The sequence below is a fragment of the Homo sapiens genome, chromosome 15 (assembly GCF_000001405.40).
Source record: "Homo sapiens chromosome 15, GRCh38.p14 Primary Assembly".
NCBI lineage: Eukaryota > Metazoa > Chordata > Mammalia > Primates > Hominidae > Homo > Homo sapiens.
Window position 1 is genome coordinate 75,859,254 of NC_000015.10, and position 26,008 is coordinate 75,885,261.

General features: G+C 38.3%; 1 protein-coding gene across 15 annotated transcripts in view, besides 1 other annotated feature; it reads left to right on the forward strand.

Annotated features, from left to right (window-relative positions):
- UBE2Q2 (ubiquitin conjugating enzyme E2 Q2) overlaps positions 1-26,008 on the forward strand; it is a 57,632-nt gene that overhangs the window by 15,807 nt on the left and 15,817 nt on the right. For 4 of the 15 annotated variants that reach the window (NM_173469.4, XM_005254787.3, XM_017022726.2 and 1 more), the window contains 7 exon segments: positions 625-729; positions 9,698-9,757; positions 14,175-14,315; positions 16,934-17,018; positions 18,708-18,768; positions 19,845-19,935; positions 24,113-24,171. In NM_173469.4, the coding sequence (NP_775740.1) occupies positions 625-729; positions 9,698-9,757; positions 14,175-14,315; positions 16,934-17,018; positions 18,708-18,768; positions 19,845-19,935; positions 24,113-24,171 (602 nt within the window). 15 annotated transcript variants of the gene reach the window in all.
- Positions 12,085-13,034: an enhancer, noted in NCBI's record as "NANOG-H3K27ac-H3K4me1 hESC enhancer chr15:76163679-76164628 (GRCh37/hg19 assembly coordinates)". NCBI's record gives its function as "activates a minimal SCP1, AML or CMV promoter by ChIP-STARR-seq in naive H9 embryonic stem cells {active_cell/tissue: H9 hESC(naive)}" and the evidence as "EXISTENCE:reporter gene assay evidence [ECO:0000049][PMID:30033119]".

Below are 26,008 nucleotides of genomic sequence, written 5' to 3' on the forward strand. Positions count from 1 at the left end.
GAGCCTACTAAATATCAAGTGTTACAGGTTTCATTTAATCTTTACCATTCTGGGAAAGTTTTCATTTCTTTGTTTTACAGATGGGTAGACTCATACTCAGGGAATTAGATAGGATATCCAAGGTCATCTAGATTGCCAGGCTCTGTCTACTAGATATTTGCTTCTGTATTTTTAAATGAATATGACTGGAATATATAATTTTGTAATCCATCTGTAACAACACTGCCTGTGTGTGTCTGGGTTATTTTTTCTGTTATTTTTTGTTTTTATTTTTTTGGTAGCCTCATTAATGCATTAATGTTCTCTTGTCTGAAGTTGTAAGTTTCTCAGAAAACGGGTTAGCAGTGAGAAATTGGACAATGTCTGGAACTTCCTTCCTCTGCCCTTATTGTTGTCATTCTGCTAGGTATCAGTTGTAGTGATTATACCCCAAGCCATAGTAACTTTCTTACACTAGAGGGTCCTGAAAATATTTTAAAGACTATTTTTTAAATCTGTAAGCTGCAGTTGAGCAGTAACAAACTTTTTCATTTCCTACTGGATTGATTACAGTAGTCATAACATTATTGATGTCTTCTAAGGGCTCTTTAACATAATGCTTATTTACTGAAATGTGTTTTGTAGCTTCGTCAGCAATTGAAGTGGTTGATATGTGAACTCTGCAGTTTATATAACCTTCCTAAGCACCTGGATGTTGAGATGCTAGATCAACCACTACCCACGGGTCAGGTAAAGTAAAAATTCTCTAGTGTTCAAGAGCTAAATAAATTGTCTCAAGCAAAAGTCAAACTAGGATGATTTTTCTTTTTATTGTTCAACTTATTTAGAAGTTAGTTTCATTTTTGTTCCTATTGAATTGTTTTGTTTGTTCTGTTTTAGGTACTAAAAATAAACTTTTCATTCTTTGGAGCTGCTGGTATTTACTATACAGGCAAACAATTGCCCTTCTCTCTACCACCACCTTTTTGTTAATATTGCTGGTTTCCGTAAATGCTCTTGCTTCTTTCATAGTTTGTCTTTGGTTATTCAATTACCTTCACCTAGCAATGTCATCTCCTTAAGTCTGTCTGTGCTTTTTAAAGACTAAACCAAATGTTATCTCCTGCAAGCAACAGAAATTTCCACTAGCTCACCACCATCACTAATTTCATTCTGGATTTACCTATTTAGGCATCTAAATATTTATTACCTATTTATTTTTTTTTTACTATAATACATGATAATTTAGCTCTTATACCACCCACTTACCACTCACCTCCCCTTCCTCAAATATTATCTTTAGTCATATAAGTAATCACTAATTATCATTAGGACTTTGTAGAGTAAAGCCAAGTTTTCTAGAATATTTAAGATAGGATATTTCCTTTCTTGGTGCAGCTTTTTGTTTTGCAGTGTCTTCCTCATAATAGTAATTTTTAATTTAAAAAATTCTGTTGTAGCCCTTTCTGTGAGGTTTCCCTTTCTTCTGAAGCCTTTGGTTCCTCTGTGCCCATCTTGGCAGGTTGTTCTTTGGGTTGGCTGTGCAGATGCCATCTTGAGGTTTTTCTCATCTGCTCTCCTACAGTAGATCCATTGTTTCTTGGATCCCATGCCATCTTTCTTGGCTGACCCTTTCTCATTTTGCCTGACTATATTCTCAGGTAAAACCCTAAGAAAGCATGGAGGAGTACATTTTCTGAGCTCTAGCTTCTGAAAAATACTGTCCAGTGTTTGGTTTTTGGAGCCAGACCGTGATAGGTTTGAATCTTTGTTCTGCTACTTACTGGCTGTATGCCCTTGGGCTGATTCCCTAATTGCTCTATGCATCAATTTTCCATTGGCAAAATGGGGGAACCAGTAATAATATTAGTACCTATGTTTTGGGGGAACTATGAGGATTAAATGAGTTCGTACAAGTAAACCATTTAGAACAGTGCCTGGTGCATAGCACATCCCCATCAACGTTGACTTCTGTTATATTCTACCCTCCCTCACACTTGATTGGTAGTTTGGTTGATTATATATTTCTAGGTTGAAGATAATTTTACCTTAGAATTTCAAAGTCTATGCTGTTGTCTTCTAACCAGTCGTGGTGGTGAAGCCTCATGGCATTCTGAGTTTCAGTCATTTATGTATGGCTTTCTCTCTGGAAGCTTTTAGGAGTTTGTCTTTTCCTTGGTGTGCTGAAACAGCACAACAGTATACTTAGTGTGGGTCTTTTTTCACTCATTGTGCTCAGTACACCAAATGGATAGGCCTATGGATAGGCTCTTTCAAATTTGGAATCTTGAATCTTCTCATAATTTTGTTAACTTTCTCCTTTCCATTTTATTTGTTCATTTTGAAGTGTCCGTTAATGGGATTTTAGACCTCTTGTCTTGAGTCTTGTATCTCATATTATTTCTAAATTATTTTTCTTTAATTTTAAAATCTGAAATATTTTTCTTTCAACTTTTGGAAATGTTATTTGGACAGTCATAGCTTTAAGTTTTATTTATTGTTGCTTAACCAATTATCCCAAAACTTAATGGCATAAAACAACAAATTTGCCTATCTATCACTATTGTATGGCTTAACTGGGGCTAGTTGGACAGGTTTTCTGCTGGTCTCATTTGGCAGCTCTCACTATGTGGTTTAGACGGTGGCAGGGACTGGTCATCTGGATGCTCAGCTGCAGTGGAATGTCTGAGACGACTTCTTCACCCACAGGTCTGCTGCCTTGGTGTTTCTTCATCTGGCCTTTCTCTCTGCATAGCGTCTCATCCTCTCGGGCCTCTTCATGTGGCTTCTCTTTCTCCAAGAGGATAGTCAGTTCCTATTTTTGGCTTCCAGAAGCACAGAAGTGGAGCTGCCAGGTGTTCTTAAGGCTTAGATCTGGAACAGGTCCAATATAATTTCTACCAAATTCTGTAGGTTAAAGTGAGTCTCAGGGCCAACCCAGACTCACTGTGGGATGGGCCCATCCAAGGACGTGATGACAGGAGGTGTGGTTCATTGAGGACCAACTCCCAAGATGAGCCCTGAGTTCTAAGAACCTTTTCTTCGCTGGTTATTTTTTATTCATATTCTATTTTTGTTCCATGGTTGTATTCATAAGTGTCTTTAAGGAGCTATTTTGATACTCTTTGGCCCTCTCCCTAGCATCTCTTTTTTCTTTAATAAATTTTTTTCTTAGTTTATTTTGGTCTTTTTTTTTTTTTAAACCTTTCCTCAGGTATCTATTCTATGTTGCTCATCATTTGTAGTCTTTTAATTCCCTTTTTTGTTCATATTTGAGAGAGGTACTAAAAGACTGATTGGGAGGCTGGGTGTGGTGGCTCACACGTATAATCTGAGTGCTTTGGGAGGCTGAGGTGGGAGGATCACTTGAGCCCAAGAGTTAAGACCAGCCTGGGCAACATATTGAGACCCCATCTTTACAAAAAATAAAAAATTAGGTGGGTATGGTGGCACCTGCCTGTAGTCCCAGCTACTCAAGAGGCTAAGGCAGGAGGATCAGTTGAGCCTATGAGGTTAAGGCTGCAGTGGGCTGTGATCATGCCAGTGTACTCCAGCCTGGGTGACAGAATGGAACCCTATCTCAAAAAAAAAAAAAAAAAAAAAAAAAGGACTGAAAGACTGATTGGGAGTTCTTTGTGGCCAAGACTGGTAGCTTTTAGTGGGAATTTAGGCTGATTCCCAATTGTTATTCCCTACCCCTCTATCTTATCTCCTGGTGCAATCATAAATGATGGCTGGAACTACTCCATTCCTCTGGAGATGAAATCTGTGTTCTTTTGCCTGAGGTAGATGTATGTTTGCTTAGGTTCTGCTTAAGGAGATGTGGGAGAACAGTGTGTTTCAGGGCCTGGAAAATGTGTTCTGTATATAGGCTTTTGTTAATCTGTTTACAGTCTTGCCTATCTGTCCCACTTTCTGGGGTACCTAGTGTCTGAGTCTAGAGCCTCTTCAGGGCGCTGTGAGATAAATTTGCCTTCTTGCTGTCAATATCCCCCTAACCTCCACCTTTGTTGGCTTTGCTCCATTAATTAACTATTTTCCATTTACTGTCATTGTCTAGTGGAGGTGAGTTCTGGTCTGCCGGTAACCCCATTCCTTTTTTGTAATTGTGTGTTTATTCTTCACCGTAATTCTAGTGGAGCCTCAGGACAAAGAGCAGATGGGAGAAATATGTGTTCAGTATTCACTTTTCCTTCTGTTTTTTTTGTTTGTTTGTTTTTCTTTTTTTTTTTTGACGGAGTCTCTCTGTCGCCCAGGGTGGAGTGCAGTGGCGCGATCTCAACTCACTGCAACCTCTGCCTCCCGGGTTCAAGTGATTCTCCTGCCTCTCAGCCTTCCAAGTAGCTGGGATTACAGGCACATGTCACTACGGCCAGCTGATATTTTATAAACATCTATGATCACCTGGCCAGTCTTTTTTTTTTTTTCTGAGTTGGAGTCTCGCCTGTCGCCCAGGATGGAGTGCAATGGTGCGATCTTGGCTCACTGCAGCCTCCGCTTCGTGGGTTCAAGCGATTCTCCTGCCTCAGTCTCCCCAGTAGCTGGGATTACAGGTGTGCACCACCACGCTCGGCTAATTTTTTGTATTTTTTAGTAGAGGGGTTTCACCATGTTGGCCAGGCTGGTCTCGAACTCCTGACCTTGTGATCTGCCCACCTCGGCCTCCCAGAGTGCTGGGATTACAGGGGTGAGCCACTGCACCTGGCCCCTCACTTTTCCTTCTGTAAGACATCTGCAGCTTGTGTTTTTCACTGAATATCACATGGACTTAATGCATAGAGAGCTGCCTGGTTTTTCATGATTGTGCCCACGATTCTGTATAGGGATATAATTTATGAATTCCTAATTTTGAATCATCCTTGCATTTCTATAGTAAACACCGTTAGAATGGATATGGTAATACTTTATTTTTGGATTTTTACTTCTATATTAAGTAAGGTTATACTTTGTTTCCTTTTAGGCTCTTATTTCAGTATCAAGGGTATGCAGGGGTGACTTGGAAAGCTTTACATCTTTTTTCCTAAGATCTAGGGTGTAGATCTAGTTTACACAGTAATTTTCAACTGGAGGAGATTTTTGCCTCCCGTGGGACATTTGGAAATATCTGGAGCCATTTCTGGTTTTCACAACTGGTCATGGTAGGGGTGCTGTTGGCATTTCTTAGGTAGAGGGGATGTCACTAAACATCCTACAACACACAGGAGAACCCTCCACAAAGAATTGTCTGGCCCAATACGTCAATATTGCTGAGGTTGAGAAACCATGGTTTAAATAAAACTCCAATCTGGAGGATGAGTCTTTGACTGTCTTTTTCCTTTTTCTATGTATCGGTCTCCAGATTTTCCACTTCTTCAGTTTTAGTAACTGTAGATTCTAAAAAAAAAAAAAAAAAGGATCGCTTCATGTATACTTCTAAGCTGTTGCATCATATTCACATGTGGCTATATGCCGTTTTCACTTCAAAAGTTTTCTTTATCTTGATTACTTATCAGAGGCTTGGCTGTTTTATTAGTCTTGTGAAAGAATCCTCTTTTAGTTTTATTTTTTAAATCTAGTGTTTTCTTTTTCATTTTTTGCTTATGTCTTAATTATTTCCCCTTTTTATTTTGCTTTTTCTAGTTTAGTGGATTAATGTAATTTAAATTGCTTTTTAAACAAACATGTAAGGGTATACATTTTCTTTGGGTGCTGTTTGAGTTTATTGCACAAGTTTTAAAATCTGTTTTCTAAGTAAGTTTATTCCATCATTTGTTCACATTGCCATACTATTAAAACTTTTTATTGTGAGAGATGACATGTATTAAAAATATGTAAAACATAAGCTTAGTGTAACTCATAATTAGAGTGAATACTTGGGAGCCAACACCTAGCCAGCACCCAGGTGAAGAGAAGGAACATTGCTCGCACTACAGAAACCTTCTGCAGGCTTCTTCCTGATCACTGTTCCTCTGTGCACTCATCTTTCCTTACATTTCTCTAGTGTTACCACTTATGTATGCATCCTTGAACAATACAGTGTAGTGTTGCCTATTGCTGAACTTTTGAAAATCATACTGTATGTATTTTTTCGTACCTTTGTTGTGCTTAACATTGTGTGTGAAATTTGTTCCTATTGTGTGTAGCTATAGTTCTTTTGCATTGCTGTATTTATTCCATTGTTTGAATACACCCTACCATTTATCCCCTTGACTGGATACAGACATGTGGGTTGTTTCCAGTGTTAGGAACAGCGAATGCTGCTGTGATCATTCTTGCTTGTATTTCATGGTACCCCTGTGCCAGCATTTCTCTGGGGCACATACTTAGGGGCATGAGGATCAATTTCTTCTTTTACTCAAGAGTTATCTAGGAAAAAAAAAACTTTTTAAAAAGCATTTTCAGATGGCTTTTCAGTTATTTTTAGTGCATCAATATGGTCAGAGAATATGGCCTGTGACCTTTCAGCTGCATTATCAGTAATCGTTTAGACTTCACTATTGGTGTTACTGCTGTCTTTGCTTCTTATTGCTGCTCCTTGTATTATGTGTCCTGCTCCCTGCCCCTCAAGTATATCCCTGAATAATATCTGGTTGTTTTTTTTTTTTTTAACCTAGAAAGGGTTTAAAGGGATGTGCATGGAGAGTGTCCCTTGAATACTTGCTGTCTGTTATTTGTTCAACAAATATCTGACTCTGTATAAAGTATTCCACATTGGTGTGGAGAATCTGGAGGTGAACGTACACAGATAATGCTTCCTGTCTTGATGGAGCTAGATATAGAATTCTAAGTTCATAATTGAGTCTATTCCCAGTTCTTTACGCTTTTATCTTCTGATATTTGTTACAAATGAAAAGTCTGATGCCTATCTCATTCTTAATTCTTTCTGTGTATTTTATTTTTTCTTTCTGGTAGTTGGTATGATTTTCTCTGTAACTGTAAAGTGTGGGGGTTTTACTTTTCAGTTTTACTTTTTTTTTTTGAAACAGGGTCTTGCTCTCTTGCCCAGGCTAGAGTGCAGTGGTGTGATCACAGCTCACTGCAGCCTCTACCTTCCTGGGCATAAGCAGTCCTCCCACCTCAGCCTCTTGAGTAGCTGGGACTACAGGTGTGCACTGCCACCGTGCATGGCTACTTTTTAAAATTTTTTTGTAGAGATGTGTTTTCACCATGTTGCCCAAGCTGGTCTCAAACTTCTGGGCTCAAGTGATCCTCCTGCCTTGGCCTCCCAAAGTGTTACAGGCATGAGCCACCGTGTCCGGCCTTCAGTATTCCTATGGGGCTTTCAGAGCCACTTAATATTCTAAAGTCTTTCTTTAGCTCAGCAGCACTTGTCTCTTTTGTTTCTTTTTATTCCCCTTCATCCTCTGGATGAATGTTAGATCTCTATATCTTCAATGTCCCTTAACTGTTCTCTTACTTACATCTCTTCTGTTTTCTCCCCCATCTCCTTTTTTTCTCTGTTCTAAGGAAATGTCACTGTTTGTTTTTCTTAATCATAAATACCTTGTTGGGTCAAGTCCATAGTACTCTGGCCCTTCTACAAGTGGTTTTTTGGGGGTGGAGGGGATCTTATTTTTACTTTCTAGAATTGTGCTTGCATAGTAATCTGTTTTTTATTTTGTGGATGCAGTATCTTCCCAATTACTGCTAAAGATCCCAATTAGGTTTTAAAATTCTATTTATTTCCTTCATTAGTAATGCTTCAGATCAATTGTGCTTACTTGACTTGGCACTTTCAGATTGCTAATTTTCTTCAGCTCTCTGGTGATACCTGGTTATCTCCTCATTTATAGATGAGATATACCCTTGATCAGTATCCATTGTTGACCTGAGTGTCTTCAGAATTGTCACTCTTTTCTACTGTGGCCTCCCCCTCCTGGTTTGCAGACCTGTGCTCTTCCTATGGCATGAGGATGGGGAGGTGCTGGCTGGTGAGCTTTCCAGCTCCTGAGCTAAAAGGAAGAGGTGGAGTCTAAGATTTTGCTGCTGCATTGAGTTATACTAAAAACACTCTCTGTCTTTTCTGTCTGGTTTTGACACTCATAGAGGCCATCAAGATAGGGTTCCTATATAGGAGAGTGATCCTTACCAACTGTAGATGGGACAAGTACAGTAAAGAATGTCTGATTCTTCTGAAAAAAAGTGGTCCCTGCATTATTTGGATTGAGTCTGTGACTTTCTCAAGCCCAGCAGTCTGATTCCATCTCCTTTGTATCTTCCAGCATGTCCTTATAGTTTTAGTTCACTAAGGGTATTCTCCTTGTATTTGTTTTTCTGCTACTGCGGCAGACCTACTCTTTTTTTATAAAATTCTGTCATTTCAGTGGGGTTTTGAAAAGAGGACCAGGCCACATCTTGAAATGAAATCATCTTAGGGTTTCCCACGATTAACTCACTTTTTGTTTTGATTAAATTACTTCCCCTTTTTGAGGTGATGGGGGCTCAGTTTTCTCATTTTAAAATGAGGGATAGTAACTGGGCTGATGGTGACAGACCCAGATGCATGTGAGAATCACCTCAGAGAGCTTTTGAAAAACAGATTCTCTGGGTAGGCTTTGAAATTGGCATTTCGAAAATGCTCTTTCAATCGTTGATGCAACCAAACTCTTTGGGAGTTTTAGGCTAGGTATATAGTCTTTAGATACCCAGAATAGTTTGATTTGGAATATAACAATTTAGGGAAATGAAAAAAGGGAGAATTACATTTTGGAAGCTGCTTGCTTCCATTTTCCATTAGTTTTTAGAAGACAATGTGTCTAAAGAGATGCAGATTTAAAGGAAATACAAGTTAATTCTGCATGGGTATGTTTACATGGAATTCTCCAGCTGACTAATCCAGAAGAGTTCTAATACCCTCTGTGATCATGGGTTTGTTTTTCTTGAGAATTATTCCATCAGAGTGTCTAATAACAGATGCTTAGATACTGCCGAGACCTTTGTTGGTCTTACTTGATCTCTGGATCCTGGTTTCGTGATCTTTTACATATTCTGTGTTCTAACCTGAACTGGCCTTCATGGTTAAAGATGCATGTATAAACAGTGTCCTGGCGAGGGCTTACCTTTTGAACTTTGTCAAAAATGGATATGAAAGTCCTTCCTAAAACCCCATCAAATTCATTTCTGAACTTGATAAATTGTAAATTGTGTAAATTGGTTAAGTTGTGTCTTGTAGGGAAGTATTTTGTTGTAAAATGTTTTTAAAAAGAAAATTTGCTTTTTAGTGAGGTGGTAATCATTTCATAATTCTTAGTTTTGTGAAATGTCTATTATCAATAACACATCTGACTGTTCAAAATGTAAGGCAATTGAATTTATGTAAATGATTCAGGCTTTCCAAAGTTAAAAAGGGAGCTATTTTAAGGAATCGGTAGTTTGGGAGATTTTATTTTAAATAAGCCATTGATCTTATGCATATAGCCATATAAGTAAAATGTTTTCTTATTTTAAATTAGATTATGTTTTAACATTTTTTTCTGTTTTGCTTTATATTTGATTGCTTTTCTTTGTTCCTAAGGCAGCCATTAAGTTGAATTGTTCAAAATTGTTTCATTTTTAAAAGCTGATAACTTATTTGTTAGTCAAAGCTGGATTTAAAGATAAACATTTTAATTTTAATAAACTGTCTGGTAGTGGGACTCCAGTGACAGATGTTTGAGAGTTTGTGGCACCAGTCTTCTAATGTACTCAGCCTGTGCATATTTGTTCTGTATAGCCCTGGCAGATTCTTTCTCTGTTTCAGAATGGGACAACAGAAGAAGTGACTTCAGAAGAAGAGGAAGAAGAAGAAGAGATGGCTGAAGTAGGTATTTTATATAAAAGAAGAGTTCATAAATTTCTTCATTTTTGAACATTTGAGTAATTCTCAAATCTTTTTTATAGACTACTATTAATGTGGAATAATTGAAAGCACATTGTGTTTGGAATGGAATATAATTTCCCAACTCTGGCTTTACCTCTAACTAATGATATGCCTTTGAGCAAATTTATCTGAATTCTTTGGATTTGATTTCCTGGAAAACAAAAGCTTTTAACATTTAGCACCAAAATTATATTTATGTTTAATACTAATCAGTACTTAATCTGTATTTGGTTATTTTTAGGAAGAGGAACTACTAAGTTTAAAAAATTTTATGTTTGCATAAAAGGAGAATTTGAGAACATTTTAGGGACTACTCGCCAGAAGTAGTGAAACTGTCTCTTGTTGAAAAATCATCAAAGAATTTTGTCTTAATCTGGTTTACACTATTTTAACAGAATACTGGAGACTGGGTAATTTATAAAGAACAGACATTTATTTTCTCACTGTTCTGAAGGCTGGGAAGTCCAAGATCAAGATACCAACATTGGGTGTCTGAGGACCTTCTTGTTGCATCCTCACATGGTAGAAGGCAGAAGGGCAGGAGAGCAAGCTAGTCCATTGTGTGAAGCCTCATTTGTAAGGGCCTTAATCCCATTAAGGAGGAAGGAGCCCTCTTGGCTTAATCACCTCTTAAAGGTCCTACCTCTTAATAGCATCACATTGGCAACACCTGCATTTTGGAGGGAGCACATTTAAATCATAGCAAATTTAGTAGAGTGCATTCCAAAGACATTGAGCTTAGGCCAGTTGTCAGTCATGGATATAATTTTAGATGTTTTCAAGCTCTGAAGCTCTGCATTTAAATTCAAACTTCAGAACAAAGATCTTTGTTTCTGCGTTGACCAAATAGAGGATATGTGAATTCCATGGTCTTGATTTAAAAAAAAATTTTTTTTTCTGTTTTGGGTCTTATAATTATGCTTTTATTTTCTTGATTTGGAAATTTTTAATCTAAAATGTGCTTTTAGAATGCTTCAGAACTAAAGAAGCAGTGTTGTAGGCTTGTTTTGTTTTTTTGAGACAGGGTCTCACTGTGGTGCAGGCTGGAGTGCAGTAGTGTGATCACGGCTCACTGCAACCTCAAACTCCTGGACTCAAGCAATCCTCACACCTCAGCCTTCTGAGTAGCTGGGACTACAGGCGTGTGCCCCATGCCAAGCTTTTTAAAAAAATTTTTGTAGAGATTGGGTCTTGCTGTTTTGTCCAGGTTCATCTCGTGAACTCCTGACCTCAAGTGATCCACCACTGGCCTCCCAAAGTGCTGGGATTATAGACATATAGACATGCGCCACTGTGCCTGGCTGTAGGCTTGTTTTATGAGTCTGGGAGTAAAATACTCTTAAAACTGTCAAGTTAGAATGAGAGTTTAATGTTTTTATGCAGTTTAGCTTAGGTGGAATAAACTGCATGAAAACATTAAACCTTTTTTGTGCGCCCAGTTTACCATGAAGCAGCCATTGTACTAAAGTTCATGAACTTTTTCTTTTTCCCCTCATAAGATAATAAACAAGGGGCCGCAACATGGAGGGAAACCTAGAAAGGTAGACTGGACTTTGGAGATGTCAGATTAGGACAAGTGGAAAGAAGATATTCTAGGCTCCTAAAATAATATGGGAACAGGCTCAGAACAACCTTGGACATAGTGTGTTTGAGTTCATTGGATACTTTTCTTTTGAGGAGGGTTGATGGGTGGAAGTCATGAAAAAACAAGATTGGCTAGAAAAGGCAGATGGTTAAAAGTCTTGAATTCGAGACAGGTGTGTTTCTATTTGGTGTGATTATTTGAAGGGGTGGGTTGCCCCTCCACACCTGTGGGTGTTTCTCGTTAGGTGGAACGAGAGACTTGGAAAAGAAAAAGACACAGAGACAAAGTATAGAGAAAGAAATAAGGGGACCCAGGAAACCAGCGTTCAGCATATGGAGGATCCCGCCAGCCTCTGAGTTCCCTTAGTATTTATTGATCATTTGTAGGTGTTTCTCCGAGAGGGGGATGTGTCAGGGTCACAAGACAATAGTGGGGAGAGGGTCAGCAGACAAACACGTGAACAAAGGTCTTTGCATCATAGACAAGGTAAAGAATCAAGTGCTGTGCTTTTAGATATGCATGCACATAAACATCTCAATGCTTTACAAAGCAGTATTGCTGCCCGCATGTCCCACCTCCAGCCCTAAGGCGGTTTTTCCCTATCTCAGTAGATGGAACGTACAATCGGGTTTTATACCGAGACATTCCATTGCCCAGGGACGGGCAGGAGGCAGATGCCTTCCTCTTGTCTCAACTGCAAGAGGCATGCCTTCCTCTTATACTAATCTTCCTCAGCACAGACCCTTTACGGGTGTCAGGCTGGGGGACGGTCAGGTCTTTCCCTTCCCACGAGGCCATATTTCAGACTATCACATGGGGAGATACCTTAGACAATACCTGGCTTTCCTAGGCAGAGGTCCCTGCGGCCTTCCGCAGTGTTTGTGTCCCTGGGTACTTGAGATTAGGAAGTGGTGATGACTCTTAAGGAGCATGCTGCCTTCAAGCATTTGTTTAACAAAGCACATCTTGCACAGCCCTTAATCCATTTAACCCTGAGTTTGACACAGCACATGTTTCAGAGAGCATGGGGTTGGGGGTAAGGTCAAAGATTAACAGAATCTCAAGGCAGAAGAATTTTTCTTAGTACAGAACAAAATGGAGTCTCCTATGTCTACTTCTTTCTACACAGACACAGTAACAGGCTGATCTGTCTTGCTTTTCCCCATAATTATTGATAGGAAGGCCTTAAGCAGGGAATAGTGTGCTGAGGATATTGTTTGAGAAAGATAATGTTGAATTCTGTTTGGGATGTGCTGATTAATACTCAGAAAAAGAAATTTCGTGGATGGGAACATGACTGAGGTTGAAGGTATAGGAGGAAATACAGGCTAAAGGCATTTGTGAGAATTGTGAGGAAAACATGTAGGATGGAAGATCAGGGCTGAAAGGTGCACACAGGGAGAAGGGAGCTCAATGAAGTATGGAGTCATGGGCAGAGTTTGAGTGAGAACAGAACGTTATAGGGCTTGAAGAGATGGCATTCCAAAAAGGAGGCCGGGGAGGTGAAGGCTGCAGTGAGCCGAGATCTTGTCACTGTACTCCAGCCGGGGCAACGGAGCGAGACTCCATCTCAAAAAATAAAAAAATAAACCCAAAAAGGAGGCCTATTGAATGGATAGAAGGTAGTGATTAACCTGGTCTAGAAATCAGTGAATTAGCCTGCTTGGGGAAAAAAAAAAAGCCGAGATGCGTATAAACTACTCCTTTAGAGATTTTGGCAATTGAAGTAGAGAAATAAGGTAATTGCAAAAAGTTAGGATTTAAATTCTGCATAGATTTATATATGTGTAAGAACAGATAGTACGGGAAAGAAGGGAGCAGAATGATGTGAATAAAGATATTGGTCTAGGGGTATTCAAATTCTTTGTTTTCTTTTCCTTTTTTTTTTTTTTTTTTTTTGAGATAGAGTCTTGCTCTGTCACCCAGGCTGGAGTACAGTAGCATGATCATAGCTCACTGCAGCCTCAAACTCCTGGGCCCACATGATCTTCCTATCTCAGCCTCCTGAGGACCTGAGATAAAATTCTTTTTCTAACTTTTTTTCTAGTTATAAACGTCAATAGATGCTTACTACATAAAACTTGGAAATTAGGGGAAAGCATTAAATGCCTCCAGAGATAACTAAGATTAACTGAAATTAACATTTCAATGTAAGTTCTTCTGGTCTTTCTTTTTCTGTGCTTATTTCAGCGTAACTGAAATTCTTTCTATTCTTTTTTGTATTGTTTTTCATTTTAAAGTTTTTCGTTACAGGAGAAATTAGGCTATGTTAGTATTTCAGTGGCCTCTTAATATTTTGCTATTTTGCACATGCAGATTTTGTGTTTATTTTTGTGGCTGCAAGGTTGAAATAGGTATCCTTATGCCTAAATTAGTGTTTATAGTTTAAACTAGTTTCTTAGAATACAATTCTAGAAGTTGAGTTTCTGGAACAAACTAGGAACACTTAAGGTTCTTGACACCTGCTGCTAAACTGTTTTAAAGGTTCCTCTTAATAGGAGATTTAGAAGATGGCTTATTTGGTAATAGTTATGATTTTGTAAAGCTTTTAAATCTGCTTTACCCAGAGTCTAGATTTTAAATAAAATATAGGATATAAAAGGTGGGAGCCTCTTGAATGGAATGTGGGGGCTTTTTCTCTCTCCCTATAGGATAGTTACATTTTGTTTCTTGTTCCTCATTTGAGTCAAGAATAATTTAATGTTATTTTGGCATAAGAAACTGCTGAAGAAAAATAGGTTGAATAAGCTAACATTTTTCGTCTCTTTGTAGGATATAGAAGACTTAGATCACTATGAGATGAAGGAAGAAGAGCCTATTAGTGGGAAAAAGTCAGAGGATGAAGGAATTGAAAAAGAAAATTTGGCAATATTAGAGAAAATTAGGAAGACTCAAAGGCAAGACCATTTAAATGTAAGTGTGTGTAGATATCTAGAACCTGGACTTTTGTGGTTAAATAATTGTAGTTAATACCAGGCAATTCATTAACATGCCCATCTCAGCTGCCCTCTTCCTCCATTTCTGCCTTAGTGGTGGATTCAGTCATGTGTGTTTTAAAACAGGGTCTTGCTCTGTCGCCTAGGCTAGAGTGCAGTGGCACAATCATAGTTCAGTGTAGTAGCCTTGATCTCTCAGGCTCCAGTAATCCTGCTGCCTCAGCCTCCCAAGTAGCTTGGACTATAGGCACATGCCACCATGCCAGGCTAGTTTTTTTTATTTTTAGTAGAGATGAGGACTCTCTGTTGCCCAGGCTGGTCTTGAACACCTGAGTTCAAGTCATCCTCCCATCTTGGCCTCCGAAACTACTGGGATTACAGGCATGAGCCACCGTGCCTAGCCTTAGTCATATGTTTTGTTGCTGTAGATTACGTTTCTTATCTATAGATAGCCACTTTTTACCCTGTTCATCTGCTCTTCATATCCTGGAACCACCTGCTGATCCCTGTATTTGCCCCTTCCCGGCCTGTTTATGCTGTTTTCTCTGCTTACCTTCCTCTCATGGGATCTGTATATTCAAATTCATCCTCTCCGACAAAATACAATTCAAGTTCTTTCTCCTTCGTGAAGCTGACTTTGGTCTGTCCTGCTCTGACCCAACCAAAAGTAATTTTTCTCTTTTGACTTAACATCCTTTTTTTTTTTTTTTTGGATGAAGTTACGCTCTGTCTCCCGGGCTGGAGTGTGGTGGCATGATCTCAGCTCACTGCAGCTTCCACCTCCCAGGTTCAAGCAGTTCTCCTGCCTCACCCTCCTGTGCAGCTGGGATTATAGGTGTACACCACCACACCTGGCTAATTTTTGTATTTTTAGTAGAGACAGGGTTTCACCATGTTGGCCAGGCTGGTCTTGAACTCCCGACTTCAAGTGATCCACCTGCCTTGGCCTCCCGAAGTGCTGGGATTACAGGTGTGAGCCACTGTGTCCGGCCACAACTTAATATCTCTTTTACGTGAAGCAGCAGGATGTGAAAAGAACACTGAGTCTGGTGACAAACACACAATTTATGGTTTCACTTTCCTCAGCTCTAAAATATGGCTAGACAGTACATACCTTTTGGATGATTGCTATCAAAAATAAATGAAAATGATGTGTGTATATATATAAAATGCTCAGAGTAGGGAAACATCAAATGATTGTCTGAACACTTACTACTTTTTGCCTTGTGTTAGAGCTATTGACCAACTCCGTGAAATCTGAGTAGCAGTTACTTTGTCTTGGGCACAGGTTCCCCAAAACAGGGAATGAATTGTTAGGTAAGTAGATGCCAAATGTTGAAAACAGGTAGATTACTCTCCCTCCTTCAGTCTAATTTATATATTAATCTAATTTATAATTTTTAGTAGAGCAAAGAAATTTAGTCAAGCCCCCATATCTTGATTACTTAAAAAACAAAGTTTGTCATTTGAATTAATGATGACTGTACTTTATGTCTTGTGATCGATTCCAGTTTGAGTTATAGTCAAAACAACTATAAGTTACTGAACACTTTTGCATGATGGATACTATGCCAAGTACTTTATACTTCACATATCTTCACATTTAGTCTTCATAGCCACCGTGTGAAATAGGTATGCTTCATATTTTAGAGATAGGAAAAACTTCTCATATTTTGTAGATATGAAATGAGCTAGGAAACTTGATTTTTCCCCCCTTCAAAGTATAGTGCAATGTTTAAAATCTTTAATTTCACGTGACCAAAAAATAGTTCCGTTTGTATTTAGTCTTATGATAAGATATTGATGTGTTTTCATCTTTAGAGATGTCCCTGCACTGAAAAACTGAAACCAGTCGCATGTAGGCAGATGTTTCTCAGTGTCTTAATGTGCGAACTAGACCATCTGTGTAATATTCTTGTTTGTAGTCTTATGAATGGAACTCTATTTTAGTAAATAATGTGTCACCTTGAGTGTCTTCTAGTATTTTCAAAAATTGCTGGGGTTTGGAATAGACTCATACTGAATTCTTTGTTATTGTGGAATCCATGGTGGTCTGGACATGTTGGCTAGACTTTTTCACATGAGAAGAAATAGGAAATGAACTAGACTTGTGCCTAGTTTTAATATCCTCTTGAAACTTCATAATGCTTCATTTAATTGGGCTTTTTTTTACTTCTTAAAATGTTGAGGTTGGGCACAGTGGCTCATGCCTGTAATCCCAGCACTTTGGGAGGCCGAGGCAGGCAGACCACGAGGTCAAGAGATTGAGACCATCCTGGCCAACATGGTGAAATCCCGTCTCTACCAAAAAAAAAAATACAAAATTTAGCTGGGCGTGGTGGTGCGCACCTGTAGTCTCAGCTACTTGGGAGGCTGAGGCAGGAGAATCTCTTGAGCAGGGAGGCGGAGGTTGCAGTGAACTGAGATTGCGCCACTGCACTCCAGCCTGGGTAACAGGGCTAGACTCCATCTCCAAAAAAAAAAAAAAAAAATGTTGAGTGGTGATCCATTTTTGCTGTAATCTTTTAGATCAGGTTGAAATATCTTAAATCTTAGCTCAGCAGACCCTGGTAAACAGTGGCTTTTGTGTTTCAGGGTGCAGTGTCTGGGTCAGTGCAAGCTTCAGATAGACTTATGAAAGAGCTCAGGGACATATACAGATCACAGAGTTATAAAACAGGTAAGGATCTCTGGATCCCTGCTCTCTTTATGATTCTTCTGCTCTTTTCTATTGTCAGATTATAAATGTCATTTCTTAAAACTGGACAGAAATGGAAATGTTTACTAGCTTTATTTCAGGAATGTGAAACTCAAATGCAATCAAGTTCCAAAAGATGTAGGAGTAAAATAGGATGAGTTTACTTGTCTTTTGGATTTTTAAAAAATGTTTTTATAGGTCCATTGGAATTTTGTCCTCTTCTTGATAAACAGTGAACTCTTACATGATTTTTATCTTCTGGGGAAAGCATGAGCGATATTGCTTGGAAAGTAAATAAGAGTAAAACATTTCATTTTACAGAGAATAATTGCCAAGTTGATTTTTATGATTCCCCCCCATTTTTGAAAGCAAGATAATCAGCTTTTATTGTAAAGATAGTTATGTTATTACCTTTAAAATATATAAGTTTTTAAAGTTTTCATTTCCTTGTTTGACGAGTATTCTTACTCAATATGACTTGAATGTTATGGAACCTCTCTAACTAGAGGTAAAATTCTCATATTGTTATGGAGATTCTAATAGTATTAAATAATGAGCCAAACTTTAATTTGAAAAGATAGCATTGGTTGGGTGCGGTGGCTCACACTTATAATCCCTGCACTTTGGGAGGCCAAGGTGGTCAGCTCACCTGAGGTCAAGAGTTCAAGACCAGCCTGGCCAACATGGCGAGCGAAGCCCCATCTCTACTAAAAATAAAAAATTAGCCGGGTGTGGTGGCGCACGCCTGGTGATCCGAGCTACTCAGTGGTCTGAGGCAGGAGAATCACCTGAACCCAGGAGGCAGAGGCTGTAGTGAGCCAAGATTGCACCACCGCACTCCAGCCTGGGCAGCAAGAGTGAGACTCTGTCAAAAAAAAAAAAAAAAAAAAAAAAGGGTTATGACCGATTCAATTCTAGCATTATGACCGATTCAGGAATTCTTAGCGTGAGCAAATCAAAATTAATTAGAATTTGCTTAAAGAATAAAAACAAGGAAAAAATCCTTGCTTTGTAGTGTGCAGGATAAGCCAAACTTGTTTCTGAGTTGTTAGAATTGTGGGTGTCCTTACGGTTTTTTGTGTAAGAAGTCTAAAAGTTTATCTGTAGAAACCTAATAAAGTACAAACATTTGAATACTGGTTTTATTTTTAAATGTTAAATAATCATTTGTTTCAGCATTGTTTATATAGAAAAAAAAAAACAGATACTGGGTGGAATTTGTTAAAGCATATCCATAAAATAAACTACCACAGAGTCATTAAAAAGATTGTGAATAGGTTTATGTATACTAACTTGGAAAGATGTCCCTGAAAGTTGAAGAGAGATTATAAAACAACATACGTAGAAGGATTCCATCTTTGTAGAAATGTGTGTTCATGGAAGAAAAGTCTTAAGTACATATGATTTTGCATAATCTTTTTTTCAGTCAGACTAAACGGTAAGCAGTTTTTCAACTCATTAAAGAATCTTCTCAGTTGATGGCTGTAATTATCTGTTAAGGGCATAAGATACTCAGCTGCAGTAGTGTAATATTTACTATATAGCTTAGTTGTTCCATGTTTTAAGAGCAAAATTTCTAGCTTTCGTTGGCTATTTAGTGTATACATTTATACCATAGTAATAGTTATATGATGAAATGAAGAGTAGCTAACATGCTCTATATCTTAACAGGGATTTATTCAGTGGAACTCATAAATGACAGTTTATATGACTGGCATGTTAAACTGCAGAAGTAAGTGGCTTTTTAATGCTCACCCACTCTTTGCAATGGTAGACTATCACAGTGGAGGTTATTTTCCTTCTAACTTGATACCTTTATACTATGGCTTTTACTTAGAACTTTAGACTTTGTTTCTATAGAAATAGTTCTTAGATTGTTTAAATGAGCTGTTGCTGAGGTCTAATAAGAAAGTGAGAAAGAGGAAGGACAGAAAGAGGGACCAGCTGCGGGATAAAGTGTTTTATGGAGTTAGAGCAGGGGAACTTAAAAACAAAAGTGTATTTAATAACTTCATGAGACTGTGATAACCAGTTTATATTTGAAATATATACAGCACTTTGGGAGACTGAGGTGAGAGGATCTCTTGAGCCCAGGAGTTTGAGACCAGCCTGGGCAACATAGCAAGACTTCATCTCTACAAAAAAAAAAAAATTAGCCAGGCATGGTGGAGTACACCTGTAGTCCCAGCTACTGGGGGTGGTGGGAGGCTGAGGCAGGAAGATCTTGCACTCCAGACATCAAGGCTGCAGTGAGTCACGATCGTATCACTATATTCCAGCCTGGGCAACAGAATGAGGCACCCGGTCTCTTAAAAAAAAAAAAAAAAAAAAAAAAAAAGTTGGGGGGAGGTGGGATTCAAATTAGACCTGTATATATAGGACAGTTGTAGACAAATACAGGTTTTTTTAGTGATTTAAGTTTTCATAGTTCTGACCATGGCAAACTTTTCTCCTTGAACCCTTTGGCTAATAATGTAAGTTTAATATGCTTTCCTAAACTTTTTTTGAGTTCTTGAGAAAATTATATTCATGTGACTATTTTCCTTTAGAGTGACTGCAAACTCTGAACTCCTTTACTAGATTAGATTTAGAGTATTATGGTCTCTTTTGGACATTTATTCCCAAGGAGCTGGAACCTATGGTGACCTCTATTTTTCCTGGTGATACAGAGCAGCTTTAGACCTTCTCTTTCTGGAACTTGCCCTAGGTGCTCTATTTTAGCTGTCATACTAGTTCATTTTTGAGTTTAGTTAAAAAAAAAAATCTCTAACTTTTTATTTGAACTGTTTTTTGTTTTGTAATTCTTAGGGTTGACCCTGATAGTCCTTTGCACAGTGATCTTCAGATCTTAAAAGAAAAAGAAGGCATAGAATATATTTTGCTTAACTTCTCTTTTAAGGTAAGAAAATAGTTACAGGACCCCATATACTTCCAGTGGGGTGCGTATATTTGTACAAGTGCTTTGGAAAACAATTTGGTAAAGTAGAAGATACTCATACCCTATGGTTCAGGAATCTCGTAGACATATTCTCCGTTAAGACGTGAGTACTTAGGCGTACCAGGAGACACAGGAATGTTCAGAGCAGCATCGTTTATAATAGCACCAAATAGAAAACCCAAGTGTTCATTCCAATAAAATGGAGAATTGTGGTGTTTATAAAGTGGTTTACAGCTATGTGGGACAAGATGGGTGGATCTTGAACACAGTTGTAAAAGAGACTGGACTCCAAAACCTATTTTGTACAATTCCCTTTATATACAGTTCAAAAATAGGTAAAACTAATGTTGATTAGGGCATGCATTCTTAGTGGAGGCAATATCACCTGCAGTGTAGTGAAAACTGATCTTTAGAGTGAAAACAATCTTAGCTATTAAAATGGTCTGCTGCCCTCCAAAGGGCCACAGAACATAAACAGATATACGATTTATCTATGGTGTTAAAATTCCATGGAGCAGGGGGGTAAAACTAGGAAGAAAACTTCTAAAAAGGCTTCTTAGGGGGGCAAAAATGAAAAGAAAACTGAGAAACACTTATTTATGGATTCATACGTGAGCAGTAAAACTGCCCAAAGAGGAAAACTGTCCAAGAACAAAGAGGTGATTACATACAGGTTAGGGTAAGGAGTCCATCTAGGTGGGAGGTAGGGAGGTGTGAACTGAAAGGTATATCTGCGCAGGCTTCTTGGATACTGGCTGGAATATATTTCTGGGCCAGGTTGATGGTTACATGAGCACATAATTTACAATAGCTTCTTAAGGTATATCTCTATATTTTATGTACTTTTCTGAATTTATGTGTTATATTTAATAAGGTTTTTTTTTGTTTGTTTGTTTGTTTTTTGAGACAGAGTCTTGCTCTGTTGCCCAGGCTGGAGTTCAGTGGCACAGTTTTGGCTCACTGCAACCTCTGCCTCCTAGGTTCAAGTGATTCTCCTGCCTCAGCCTCCTGAGTAGCTGGGATTACAGGTGCATGTCACCATGCCCGGCTAATTTTTTTATTTTTAGTAGAGACGGGGTTTCACCATGTTTGCCAGGTTGGTCTTGAATTCCTAACCTCAGGTGATCTGCCTGCCTCGGCCTCCCAAAGTGCTGGGATTATAGGTGTGAGCCACCACACCTGGCCTAATAAGTATTTTAAAGATGCTAAAAATAATGGTTAAAGAATAGCAATGGAATCTAGAAAAAATGTTAATGATTTTTTTTTTTTTTTGAGACAGAATCTTGCTCTGTTGCCCAGGCTGGAGTGCAGTGGCCCAGGCTGGCGTGTGGTGGCACAATCTTGGCTCACTGCAACCTCTGCCTCCCGGGTTTAAGCAGTTCTCTGCCCCAGCCCCCCGAGTAGCTGGGATTATAGGCATGTGCCACTATGTCCGCATAATTTTTGTATTTTTAGTAGAGATGGGGTTTCACCATCTTGGCCAGGCTGGTTTTGAACTCCTGACCTCATGGTACACTTCCCTTGGCCTTCCAAAGTGCTGGGATTACAGGCGTGATTTAATATGGATCTGGATGAGATGTAATGGTTTAAAATCTGTGGATATATGAGATATTTTGATGGAAAAAGCAATACTTCCTTTGTACTTACAAAAAAGGTAGTAATTTTCTAAAAGCTTCTTACGTAGCTTTTTTATGTGTGTGTTTTTGCTTGGGGATATATCTTATGATTGAACTTTCTTGAAGTGACCCAAATGTCAGTATTATCTCTCACTTTTGTTATTATAGAAACTGTTGTGGTTGTCAACTGGGTTGTCTTCCTAAAATATGAGTCTGGTATATATTGACTGAAGTTGCTAATGGCTACATTTTTACTAATTCATATGGGGGAACGAATAAAGCACCCAGGCCAAAAACAAAAAACAAAACACACAAAAAAGGAAGGTATCTTTCTTTTTAAAAAATTGAATTATATGTCCTTATGCCTAACACCAAACTTAAGAAATAGAACCTTTTTTTTTTTTATCCGTCCCTGTGGCCCCCTGTGTGCCCCTCCCTTGTCACTTCCTCTTTGAGAGGTATCTTTACGGGAATATGAAATATTGGCCAGGAAACTGGAGGATTTGTGACTATAGGTAGTGTTTTCATTATTTTTTCCTGCTCTAGGTAGAACTTCAGGGAGGGGACGATCTGGGAGGTAAATGGCTGAATTTCTGTTGGATTTGTGTTTCTGGACCATGGCTCCTGATACCACAAAGAAGGGCCTTTTCTGGGGTTGGAGTATTTCTTGAGAGGCCTAGGAAGAATGTGATTGCCTTGAGCTAACTGACCTTATGAAGAGGACCTTAAACTGAATTGCCAAGTTATTAGTATCGGGATTCACAGACTTTGGAGGATAGCAGGTATGACTCAGAAAGATTTGCAGGAAAGAGCCAGAACAGTATATATTTATGGCCTCTGATGTCCACGGTGACAACTTGAATAATAAGAAAAATGGAACTTGAGATAAAGCATAACACAAAGATGGGAGTTGGGGCAGGAGGGAATGTGACCTTGTTGGTAAATCCAACTTGCTATATTTTTAAGGAAGTCACTTTTTGGTGTTTCGGGCAGCATCTGAATTACTGAATTGAATTCTGAGGTAGTACTTTAAGAAGGGTCTATTTAGATAAACTTAGGTTCATTTAGAGAATAATAGCCAGGATTGGGAAGAGATTGATTGTATTCCGTGTCCTAGGATAGCTGGTGAAATTGTGGATTTGGAGAGGAGAACATGAGGGTTGATGTTATCTTGTCTTCAGCTATTTGAAGGACTGTGTATATGGAAGCATTAGTTTTTATTTGCTTTTGGTGAATGCAGGGCATGAAACTAGTAAGTCAAATTACAAAGAGGTGATTTTCAACTCAATGTGAGGAAGCGATTTGTAACTATTTAGAGCCATTTGGTGATGTAGTCTTTAAAATGTTCCTCTTCCTTAATAACTTAGATGGCTAAGATGTTAAGATCTCAGATAACTTTCTGAGATCCTTTATAGAGTCTGAGAGTCTGTTTCTGAGTTAATATGTACTAAGGTAACTGAAACTTCATTTTAACAGTCATCCTCAACCTTTTTTTCCTCCCTGAGGAACTTTTTATTTCTGTAAAATCTGGATTCCTGAGTTCCAGGGTATAGACTTTATGGAATAGAGCCCGCAGATTTTGATGTAGAAGAGTTATTCTGAACTGTTTAAAATGAATTAAATCATACATAATGAAGAGGTTTTGTAGTCACTCATTAGGGATTCACATGTTTAAAGATCTAAATAATAGGAGGTTAAATGAAATTGTACTTTACCAAGCTTACATCAACCTCTATACCTTTCATTATGTCTGTTAAATATAGATGAAAGGTGAGCTACTTTATTTGAAAGTAGATTATAATAACTGTTGTTAAGTTGGTATCTTGTGTCATTAAGTTGGTATCTTGTGGATAATCTTACATTTCTATTGCAAGTTAGAAAATGCAAATCAAAATTAATTAGAATTTGCTTAAAAAATGAGATGATTAAAGCTGGCTGTCATTCCCTGTCAGGGCAATTTGCAGTTTGTTCTTCAGGGTCCCAACCTAAGGAGCCGGAGACTTAGCAGGGCCTGTCCTCGGTGGACGCTGAGCTCCAGTATTTATCTCCCTGTGAGCTCTGTGAGTCTGTGAGTTCTAGCTCAGCTTGTGAACCTCTTCTTTTTCTCTTCTGTAATTGGAAGAAAACCTAAGGGGGAAAAAAAGATCCTGCTCTCTGGTGTTCCCTTTTCTTAGCCTTGAAATTATTATGTTTTGTTCACCTTTCTAGTTCTCAGTCAGAAGATTTATCTAAGTTACCTAGTCTATCATTATTGGAATGGTTCCTTTATATAGTTCTAGTGAAGTGGAACCCCTTCATGTGTTTCATCAGTTTACCATAATGCTGTTCTGTTTGGGCCTGATTTTAACTTCATTTTTATTTGCTTTGGTTTTCATTTTGGTTTTGGGTACTAATTTTATGACTCTTACCCATTATCTGATAATAAATGTACACATTCTTTATAGTATCTTTTAAAATCTTCTAAATAGTATAACACTAAGGATGTTCTTTAAATTAATTAAACTTGCTTATTTGCTTTTTAGGATAACTTTCCATTTGATCCTCCATTTGTTCGAGTGGTGTTACCTGTTCTCTCAGGAGGGTAAGTTTAAGTGACTACTTAAAAAGAAATTTTTTTCAGTTAAAAAAAATTTTTTTTTATAGGGACGAGATCTCACTATGTTGCCCTGGCTGGTCTTGAATTCCTGGGCTCAAGTGATCCTCCCACCTTGGCCTCCCAAAGTGCTGGGATTACAGGCATGAGGCCACTGTGCCTGGCCTGCATTTTTTTTTTTTCTTCTAAATATAGTGTGCACCAGAAACATTTGGAGAGCTAGTCCCAGGGTTTCTGATTCAGTAGGTCTGTGGTGGGGCCTGAGTATTTACATTTTTAAGAAGTTTCCAGGTGAAGTTGATGCTGTTGTTCTGGGGCCCACACCTAGAACCATTAGTTGTAAAGCATTATGTTGTTGATAGGTAAAGTTTTTAATGATTCATACACACATGTATTTATACATACACACACACACACACACACACACACGTATATATACGCACATACTTTTTACCATAAAAAAGCTAATGTTTTCAAATGTAAATTGTGATTGAGGGTTTAGAGAATGTTACGATTAGAGAATGGTCCCCACATGCCTGTGATCCTAATTGGTACTTTTAGGGATAATCATGGGAAAATCTCATGGACCTATGGAACTGGCTAATTACTCCTAGAGGTAATACTTGCAGTTTATTAGGGTCAAATGGTAATTGTATTGCTTCTTTTTATGGTTGGAAGTCTTACAGAAGGTGGGGAAAAGATCACAATTTGTTAGGTTAGTTATGAAATGTTCAGTAGGCCCTCAAAGTATGAGCAGTTTAACTTGAGAATGTTCCAACACTCGGGTGACTAATTCTATTATGTGACATAATCTACATTATGGTGGTTAAAATCTAAATATATCCAGCCTTTCCTTTGATCATTTCTATGGTTGAGATAGTAATAGTTGCATTTAGGGTAAAAATATGAGTGACTGCTTCAGACTTCAGAACTTTCTCCAGAAGAGCTTTGTTCCTACAGTTATTTTTAGTTATATTTGCTTTACATGCTTATATATGTGTTTTGGGGGCTAAAATCCTGTTAAGAATCATTTCTGTGTAGTCAGAATACATACTAACTTTGGTGTTGATACTACAGAATAGTTATTTGGGCATGGTGTCCATCTGTAAAGCTCAGAGAAACAAAAAGTGTGTGTTTGTTTGTTTTTTTAACCTTTCGTATTACATATGGATATGCTGAGCTCATTTTGAGTTCTGCCACATGGTAAAGCAATATAATTTATTTTTACTTATTTATTTATTGAGATAGGTTCTCGCTTTGTTGCTCAGGCTGGAGTGCAGTGGTGCTGTCATGGCTCACTGCAATCTCTGCCTCCTGGGCTCAAGATATCTTCCCACCTCAGCCTCCTGAGTAGCTGGGATGCCACCATGCCCAGCTAATTTTTGTATTTTTGGTAGAGATGGTGTTTTGCCATATTGCTCAGGCTGGTCTTGAACTCCTGGGCTGAAGCCATCTTACCCGCCTCAGCCTTGCAAAGTACTGGGATTACAAGTCTAAGCCACTGTGCCTGGCCCAATATTGTTTTTCAAAATTATTTTATTATTTTTTGTCCTTTTTTGTTTTTAAATATTTCTTAATTTTATTTTTTTCAGTATTGTTTCTTAAGAGTTTACTTACCTGACACCTGCAACCTAATCTTTGCCATAGCTCTCAAAATGTTCTGTAAGCACTAATAGTAGTGGGGTTTTTTTTTATTTGTTTTTTGAGACGGGGTCTCACTGTCACCAGGCTGAAATGCAGTGGCGTGATCTCAGCTCACTGCAACCTCTGCCTTCCTGGGTTCAAACAATTCTCCTGCCTTAGCCTCCCGAGTAAGGACTACAGG